Source organism: Homo sapiens, chromosome 16, assembly GCF_000001405.40.
Source record: "Homo sapiens chromosome 16, GRCh38.p14 Primary Assembly".
Taxonomy (NCBI): domain Eukaryota; kingdom Metazoa; phylum Chordata; class Mammalia; order Primates; family Hominidae; genus Homo; species Homo sapiens.
The window spans coordinates 60,646,730-60,657,553 of record NC_000016.10 but is presented as its reverse complement, the minus strand read 5'-3'; the positions used below and the strand labels follow the sequence as shown (position 1 = coordinate 60,657,553).

The 10,824-nt window shown below is 36.1% G+C and overlaps 1 pseudogene; it reads left to right on the top strand.

Moving 5' to 3' along the window:
- GNPATP (glyceronephosphate O-acyltransferase pseudogene) lies at positions 1,580-3,483 on the top strand (annotated as a pseudogene).

Genomic DNA, 10,824 nt, shown 5'->3' with positions numbered 1-10,824 from the left:
AAAGCATCACCTTGAATTTGTTATAAAATCCCCCACAAGCTGTGGTATGAAGGGCCCAAGAGTTGCTCTTCTGCTTCAGAACCAGCCATCCATGAACTCTCATGCTCTTGTAGAAAAGACTACGCTGAAATGCTCACCCCAGGTGTTCAGAGGGTTTCCCATTTGGCCTAACATTCCAGGAAGCTCAAGCTGATGCTATTACTGGAGATTGAAGATTCTTTGAGTAGCACGGTATACAGCAGGCTTCGAGGAGTGTCCAATATGTTTTTGTATTTCAACTCTCTCCAAAGGTTGTGCAATCTTGTTCAATTTACTTAACTTACTGTCATAATTTTTTCTTTGTATAATACAAAAGACAACATTTATCATCTATAGTTTTGTGATGATTAAGTATACATTAATTATTTCATTTAATGGCTACTTCAAAGTACTTTGAATAGCACTTTTAAATAAAATAGAAAATAGAGCCAAAAACAAACTCTGTGTTCTTCTCCATGTGTTTTAGCCTTTTAAATTGCCTCATTTAGTCTCCCAGCTTTAAATGACAATACTATACTGGTAACTCTTTTAATCTCCAGACTAAATACTCAAGACTTATAATTTCTACCATAATTTATTGCTCATCCTTGAATTATGAGCATCTCAGTAAATAGGATAATGTTTAGGCAACATAAAATTGTATCAAGTCCTCTCTTTTAATGTCACACAATCTACAGTCTCTCGGTAAAGCCTGTTACTTTTGTCTTTAAAATGTACTCCAGGGTTAAGACGAAGGCGACCAGGGTCATGTGGACCAAGCACAAAGTGTGTCACCACCCTACATGAAAGAAACTCCCCCAGTGGCAGCACCACAGCCACTTAGCATAAGAGTCCCAGGCTCTGCCCAAGTCAGCAGCCATACCAGAGACCCTTCCAGCTCATCTACTCTCATTTATCCATTGGTTCCACCAGCCCTAAAACCATTATGCTCTTCGACTCAAAGAAGCTCAAAAGGTGGCATGAATTTGAAAACATTGTAGAGGAGAGGAGGCATGTCAGTGACTTGAAATTTGCACCTCTTGTTTATAAGGGGATTATTCCATGTAAGCCAAGTAATCTTAAATATAGTGTTCTTAATTATGAAGAGAGTTATTATGTCATTGCTATAGGCTGGATGTTTCTCCACTTCAAATTTCATGTTAAAATTTGACCCCAAACATTGGAGGTGGTGTCCAGTGGGAGGTGTTTGAGTCATGACAGCAGACTCCTCAATACAGCTTGGTGCTGTCCTCCTGGTAATGAGTAAGTTTTATCCTACAAGAACTTATTGTTAAAAAGAGCCTGGCACCTTCCTTCCCTCCCTCTCTCTCCTGTTTCCTCTCTCACCATGTGACAGGACAGCTCCCCATCCCCTTATGCCATGAGTGGAGGCTTCCTGAGGCCTCACCAGAAGCAGATGCATGGACTATGCTTCTGTACAGCCTGAAGAACCCTAAGTCAAATAAAATTCTTTTCTTTATAAATTACCCAGCCTCAGGTATTCCTTTATAGCAACACTAAGGCACTAAAACAGTCATTAAACAATTTTCTAAGGAATTCCAAAGGAAGTTAGTGAGATCTTGGATCAAATGAGTCACAGACTGCGTCTGGGAGCCATTCAGTTTTTTGTCTTTCCCTTAAGCAAAATATTTAAACAAATTTTCTCAAAGGTGTGTGTAAATGTAGGAGGTATTCAGAAACTGTAGCAAGCCAACCAGGAGCATCTTGTTCTTCTGCTCAGTCATCAAAGTTACGTTGACTTTCTGGTGTTGTCTTTTCTCCCATACAAGCATGATTTGTCTGTGCCAGTTATAGCAGCAGGAATGGACTTCCTGAAAATGAAACCAGTTGGTGAGCTGTGTGAATGTCAGGTGCCTTTTTCATGTGGTGCTGTTATGGTGGCAATAAACTCCACTGGGCTCTATTCTCTGAATATGTAAAAACTATTTTAGGAAATGGTTATGTGTCTGCTAAATCTTTCCTAGAAGAGAAAAGAAGCTGCTCTGCCAAGATACTGACTCCTAGATGTAGTGTTCTGAATGTTGTTATGAAGTCATTTTTTAAAAAAGTTTTTGAGACCTGCCTTATCCCAATTAGCAATAGTTATGCTAAGTTATTAGAAGAATATATCTATCTATCTATATATATATAGAAATACATATATATATATATGTATATATGTTTCTAGAGGTTGCTAAGCCATAACAATCTACAATTGGATTGTTGAAAGCCAGAAAGATTCTCTCTGAAATTTTTGAAACTTTCATGCACACTTTGGAGATGCTATGTCACTTTGATCTCTGACAGCTGGGAAGATGAATCAGAGCCCATAGAACCTGGTTCTAAGATACATTCTTCAGAAGCAATCTGAGGGCGTGGATGCCTTTGTTACTGAAGCTGCCTACAAAATGCAGCTTCTGCAAATTGAAAGCCTGGTTCTGAGACCCTGGGCCTAATAGTTTCTCTTCCGCTTCAGAACTAGCCATCCATGGACACTCATGCTCTGGCGGGAAAGATTTTACAGCTGAAAGGCTCACCCCAGGTGTTCAGAAGGTTTCCCATTTGGCCCAATAATAAAGCTACCAAAGACATGTCCAGTCCAACATACTTCTGCATTCCGACCTTACCAGCTTTGTCAAAGGCCAGGTGATTCAGAAAGTGGACTCCGGAGACTCAAAAGTGGCTGATGGAGTTATTTTCCAGTAGATCACTATCCTCATTGCTTGGCTTATAGGAACCTGTTGCTCAACACTTTTGTCCATCCTTCTTTTGTAGCTATAACAGTGCAGATGACAACTGGCTTCAGGAAAGAGGATGTCTACAATTGCTTTTTCTTCCTATGTGATTTTTTTTTTTCAGAGGAGTTCATCTTCCTTCCAGGAAACACACTAAAGGACTTTGAAGAAGGCTGTTACCTGCTTTGTAAATGTGAGGAGAACATTCTAGTTACAGATAAAGGAAATATCATTTAGAATTTTTAATAGGACTCTTTACACTTTCGTGGAATGTTATCAGATAATTTGCAAATACTTCTTGAGCAAAGAAGAGAACTACTTTACTTAGAAATAGTACTTGGCTGCAGTTAGAAAATACATGTCAGCTTCTCAATCAAGGTGCCTCTCAGTGTTACGATGTATTATCTTCTGATGTGCAGAAAAATGCCTTAGCAGCTTTGTTGGTGGAGAAGAAAAGGATTAATAATGACTATATATTTCATGTGAATGAACTTGCCACAACCAAATTAGGATAAATGTTTGGTTGTAATACTCCAATGGGAAAACCATTCACTGCAAAACTTTAATAATCACCAAACAGTTATGAAAAATTTGGGCACATAATTACTGTCATCAAATCACTCTTATTCCAACAAACATGGAAGTAAAGGAGCAGACACATTTTCTCTTACTTTGTAAGACTTTGAGAACAGACCTCTGTAGAGAAGAAGAAATGGTCAATGGAATCAATGGGGAAGTAATCTTCCCCAATGATAGTTGGGAAGTAATCTTCCCTGACATGGTTATCAGGCATTTGTATCCAACTCTCCAAGTGTTCAAAGAAATTTGTTTAAGTTTTGGAAACAATAAATAAATAAATAATCATATTCCAAATCTGACTACTTTTCCCTGGCTCTGTGCCCTATTAAAGCCACCAACATCTCCTACCTCATCCACTGACACAGCTTCCCAATATGTGTCCCTATTTCAGCTCTTGACACCAGACACAGTGGCTCTTCCACTGAACAATCAGAGTTGTCACTATTTCAGTAAATTCAAGTCATGTCATCACCCTGTTTAAAACCTTCCAATGCTTTCATATTCCATTTAAAATTAAATTTATTTCAGTTATGCTAGCTTACATTTCTAACACGGTCTGCCTCTTCCCACTTCTCTGATTTTATCTTTGATCATGGCCTTCTTATTTCCCTGCATCCAGTGTGGCTTGCAGTTCTTCCAAGAGCCAAATGGTGCTTGTTTCCACTAGCGCCCCTTCATACATGTTGCTCTCTCTGCTTTGATATTTCCTATCTTTCCCCTGACATCCCTTTACAAAATAAAACACCTTTCATGTGTTACGTTCTATTTCTTTACCTACTTATGTCATTACTAATCCTTTGTCTACTTATATTATTACACTTAACCACTGCAGTTATCTTGCATTCTATTTTTTCATTAATTCTTATATTTATAAGTGCAAGAATGCAAAAAACAATGTCTGCTTGGTTTCTGTTATATCTTCAAAGTATATATTGTCTAATCCGTACATAGATTACAATATTATTTCAGCTTTAAATAATATTGACTGTAAGACATCAATGTGCCAGGTACAGAAGTCACTCAATAGATGGCATAGTAACCAAAAATGCAACAGATATAATTTTCAGTTTCCTCTTTCACTCCGCATCTGGCTGTTTTAAAATACTTGTTTTACAAAATCACTGTGGTTTTTCATGCCTCTTTGCCTTTGAATAAACTGCTCCTTCAGATCAACTATGGAAAGGCATAATAGGCTATGTTCAAGATTCAAATATAGTATCTTCTCCGTGGATTATCTTTTCCTAGATTTCTTTTCCCTTCTCCACACCCTAAGTGAGGTTTCACTGGGTCTTTACAGAGAATCATGAACACACATGTCTTCTTAAATGCCCTTCATATATTATATTTCAGTGATCTCTTATATTTTTCATCACTCCCTGTAAACTATGTAGATAAGTGTAATCTCTAATTTGTTACATTCAAATGAAACTTCTGACTATGACACCTCCGAACTTTGTGACTCCAGGCAATTTCTTAACTAAACCTATCTGTGCCTCAGTTTCCAAATTTATAACAACGAGGATTAGTTGCAAACATCTCATAGGGTTTTTCTGAGAATTAACTAAGAAATACGTAAAGTACCCATCATTTGCTAAGCTAGACAATTAAGAATTCTCTAAAAACTATTATCATTAATTATTATTACTATTAATTCCCAAAGTTAGTATGGGGTCTTGCATACACACCCTAGATGCTGAATAATGGTGTGATAAGGTCAAAGACAAATCGCATTGGAAAGAGTTAAACAGTGAAGAAATACTTTATTGGCATATTAAAAATTTGCTAAGAGTAGATTTCAGGTGTTATTATAACAAAAACAGAGAAAAGAAAAGAAAAAAAGGTAATTCAGGAAAGTGTTGGATCATTTCCCGTACTGTAATAATCATTTCACTATGCATATGTATATCGAAACACCATGGTGTACATCTTACATATGTACAACTTTTTTTCTTCAGAAAAAGAGTCTTGCAAGGGAAAAGAGACTGAACTCAATTTCGCTAAAACAAAACACAGGAGAATTTTTAAGCACTGGAATGAGCCAGTGGAAAAACTGGAGGACATTAGGGAGAGAGGTTGGTCAATGTGTTGAGGCCATCTCTGTTTGCTAATTGGCACTTATTGAAGTTAGGCTCCTGCTCTCCTACAGAAAGTGGAAGGTGGGGGTACTATCTTCCTTGATAATACATTTCAAGAGATGCCTTTCGGGTTCTTAAGATTTTTCTGGGTATGAAACCTGGCAAAAGGCTAAAATATTTTACATCTCAAAGGGGCAGAGAGATAATTTGCAGTAGAAAGTTTTCTAAAGTGAGTGCTCTAAGAAAGATAACGGGCTACAATTAGGAAGAAAACTGACTAAGATTGAATCAAGTGGAGGAGATCCTTAAGGCCATCTTGATCACTGAATCTATAAAAGTTCTGATCTCATGTCTTAAATGAGTCAATCTAATCATGGTACAGCTATACAGTGATTACTGCATTATCATAATAATATGTAGCTAATGCTATTTGGGGTATTAGTGATGTTCACCAAATATGTCCAGCTCTGCCTTGGGACATGTAGCAGGATGTCACTTCCCATTCCCCTTAGAAGTGATGGGAACCATGTGAATGGTTTTGTGCAATACATTGTGGAAGAAACATCATTACTCACTGCTGGGCTGGAGGTTTTAATTGTTAGTATACTAATCCCCAGTAAGGCAACTGTAATGTTTGAAGCGGGGCTGCTTAGTCAGCCTGATTTCCTGATGGAGAAGCTGTGAAGCTGAGTGCAAACCAACCGCAATGGACTGCGGAATGAAAAGAAATAACCCTTTGTTGCTGGAAGATACTAATATTGGGGTATGGTATGTTGTTTTAGCATCCCTAGAAATTTCCTTTATAAGTATCTCAACTGATTTCAATCAGGAAAACAATACAGAAAAATAAAATTATTGTAAGTTTCAGAATTATCCACCAAAACCAAGTGATAACATAGGAATAGGCCCCAACTCATGAAAAATATGTCGTGTGGGAAGGCCATGGTGGGCAGGAGATGTGTGCTTGAAACATTAGTCCCTCTTCTATTATTAAAATACATTTATTTTTCCTTGTTCATTTTTGAAAGAAATATGAGCCATCAATTTTCTTTTATTTCAAGATCCTATAGATTTTCTACAAATCCACAGCAATGAAAACATTTATATTTCATTATTACAAATTCCACTGGGAACTCTTCCTCTCTCTTTCATACACCTTGTCAATTTCATTACATAATTAAAATGGGAAGATTGTCTTAAGGGAATAATAAAATATGCTAGGATATACCACCTCTTAGGTAAATATGTAGACAGTATATTTTTACTGAATATTTTAGATTACTTTAAGCTTCCTTTTAGAAGTATACCTAATGACCTGACATAGACAATTACCTAAACTTGTGCATTAATACACTTTGAATGGTAATTACATTTTAATTAAAATGCCAAAGTGATCCAAAGGTGAAGAATAAGCTATTTACTGTGTGGAGTCTGAACAATGAAATAAATGGGAAAAGAACTTAAGTCTTTATGATTTTTTTCTTAATGCTGAAAAAGTGATATTGAGAGCAATTATTATCTTTTTTTCCAAAATATAGTAATGCATAAATAGAAGCAAATTAAATCTATCACTCAGCAAATTTCATTTGCCATGGGGAGATTAATATGAAAAGGGCCTCTGAATTTTTATCAGAGCAGAAAACTTAATAGGATATTTCAAAAATTCAGCTGTGGCTGGCTTGAGAATAGATAATGGAATTCTTGCAGCTTAAATCTTGAGGTCACTATTTCAAAAATGCCCCAAGTTGGCGGTAACTAAAAGGCATTACTATCTGATGGCACTGCAGTGCCTATGTGAAATGAATGATTGGTTTCACTCTGATGGTTACGAGATAGGGATCTAATATCATCCCAACAACTGAAGCTAATTGGCCCAATTGCTGGTATTTCAAGGAGGCATCCAACAATTGAAAATTGGAATTACATCCCCTCTCTGTACTTGGTTGCTTTCCTATGACGGGCATGACAGGTGTGACGTTTATCTGGGCCTATCTTGGGCTTTGATGTAAATAAATCAAAAATTCATTCTGGCAGCTCAAGCTTTTGCCCTACAGGGTCCTGGAGATCTGGCTTATTAATTTGTAGACAGTGTGCCTTGTCCCATTTACCAGGAAGGAAGCCTTTACAAATGAAATGGTGATGTTAGAGGGCCCCGAGCTCCATGGGTAAAGGACTTTCTCTAGGCTAGAGGGATTCTGGGAAGGTCAATATGGCTGCCTACTTTCCTATGGCCCAGTTTGTATTAATGCTAAACTGATTATTAGCATTTAAGATTGGTATAGTGGGAAGAGAAATTTGAGTCCAATAGATGTGTGAGTTAAGGACAAATACTAACCTTTATACTGTGTGCAAGGTAAGACAGTGGATATATAAAACAGACAGCCTGGGTTCAAATACTGATCCCACCAAGAAATAATTCTGTGTTGTGTGTGTAGTTTATTCCCCCAAAGCCTCAATTCCTTAGTCCCCTTATATGACTGTTGTGAGATTAAAAGAGATAATGAGCACAGGAAAGAGTCTGGCATAGTGTCAAATAATAATAACAAATAATAAATGCTGATTGTGTTGTTAACATTCCTATTTAAAAAATGGTAGTAGAGTAACAGTAGTTATTATATTATCAACACCTATCTTGCAAAAACTGCCTCCTAGGCTTGTGTTGAAGATCAAATAACATAAAAAGATGCAAAAACTTTGAAATGCCATGCAAATTAAAGGTGTTAATAATTATAATCATATCTAGTTTATTCTTAATTTTTTATATTATTGTGTTTATTTCTCAGATAGACCTGATTTACAGTCTAAGCACACAGTAAAGCTGAAACAAATAGTCAAAGGAATAAATAGGGGCTTGCAGGAAATCTTTGGGAAATATCAGACCTATCACTTCCTGAAGCAGGTTCCCTCATGCTGTGGGCTAGCAGGACTGCCAGGTCACCGAGCATTCTTTGTACATCCTGTTTATTGGAGGCAGTAGGTATTAAATTATTTCATCAAGCAGTCCTGTAACTTTGCAGCTCCCTGGTGGGCCTTCTAATCTCAGATTATGTTCACCCATCAAGCTATGATTGCTGGAAGGGTTATTGCTATTTCTCATTATGCTATCTCTTGAGTCCTCTTTTTTCCCTTTGTTAAAATTGTTCCACTAAGAATATTTTTTTAACTCAAATTGAATTTTCTTTCAGACTCCCACTTGATATCATTGGGTTCCAGGTTCCTAAAGATTTCTTAAAAATTTTAAAGGAAAACAAAATATGTAGGTTTAGTCAGATTTATTTCTTTTCTTGGGAAAATAACTTCACTTTTTTTCCTACCCATTCTGTGTACATTAATCAAAGAACTAGGCCAGGTCCTATAGATGCTGTGTGTGTGTGTGTGTGTATGTGTGTGTGTGTGTGTGTGTATTGTGTGGTAGGAAATAAGGATCTGCCTCAATGTATTATGTTGACCTAAATTCATCATGTCTTTTGCAAAGATGACATTAAAATTAACAGGCTATTTTTTTCCCTGTTGAACATAAGCCTCTGTTTCACTGGTCTTCTGCACCCTTGCTCTCAGTCTTGTTCCTCCTTTTTTTACTTTTATTGATTGACCTTCTTAATATATGGCCATTTACCATGCACTGTGGAAGTGAATTATACATGAAAACTCAGAAACAATATATCAATGGTACATTCTGCACTGAGTGACTCATGCATTGAGTCTTCCTTAGTCACATAGAAGAGTTGAGCTCCCTACCTGGTATTTTATATCTGAAAATACTCTACCAGTATCTCTCATTAGATGTTATTTTGGACTTCTGTATATTCCCAAATCTTGCCAACTACAATCAAGTCTTGATCACAGAATAACACTTAACTGTCCCCATTCACCGGTCTTCAAGATTCATCTATTTTATAGACTTTGAAACTGACCCATTCCAAAAACAGACCACATTTCACAAATCCCATATCAGGAGGATCACAGACACTTCTGTTTCCATATGTAAAAAGATACAAGTGTATTGGAACTTCTAGAATATTCTTATGAGTGATATGATCAATGATTAAGGGTAGGAAATTAAAACCTTTCCCCCCAAATTTGGGATTTGTAATTTCTATAACAAGTTGGCCTAGAATGTATGATATATGTGTATACATATATCTATATGTATACACACACACTATATATACACATATATAGTACATATATAGTACTATATATACATATATACATATATAGTACATATACATATATGTACTATATATGTATATACATATATGTATGTACTATATGTATACACACACTTATATACACACATATATACATATGTATATATACACACGTATACGTACATATGTATATATAGACACGTATACGTACATATGTATATATAGACACGTATACGTACATATGTATATATAGACACGTATACGTACATATGTATATATAGACACGTATACGTACATATGTATATATACACACGTATACGTACATATGTATATATACACACGTATACGTACATATGTATATATACACACGTATACGTACATATGTATATATACACACACGTATACGTACATATGTATATATACACACATGTATACGTACATATGTATATATACACACGTATACGTACATATGTATATATACACACGTATACGTACATAGATGGGTATATATACATATATACCCATCTATGTACATGTGTACATACATGTACATCTATGTACATATATACACATACATGTACATCTATGTACATATATACACATCTATGTACATGTGTACATACATGTACATCTATGTACATATATACACATCTATGTACATATGTGTGTATACATATAGTATATACATATATACACATATATACATGTATACACGTATATACATATATGTGTATATATACGTATACACATATATACGTATATGCGTATATATACGTATACACATATATACGTATACGCGTATATATACGTATATATCACGTTCTTACTAAGGATAAAAGCATAGTAACACATAAAACACAAGAGACAGTCCGTGAAAGGCTAAAAGCTTGTTGTAATCTTCGTGAGGGCTGAACTATTCCTATTTTCCATCCCAAAGTAACCAGTGGCTAGCAGAGTTCCTGGCACTAGGAACTCAATAAATATTTCCTAAAGAGAAGGGAAGAAGAGAGGGGCCATAGCCACAGAAACAATCCTAAACATAGTGAAGCCTGTAGAGCAGAGAACAATAGAAACACAAGATTTCTGAGGACCCAGTAAGCAAAGCTCCAGACTCCTATTGCCTTGCCCCAAAATATCTCGAGCATACATCATCAGAGAGAAAATTACCTTGAAATTCCTTTTCCCTTCATCACTATATAAATGAACGTGAACAGAAGGTTCTGTCTCTTCTCATTGCATCTTCCCGATAACTATTCTTAGAAGTGG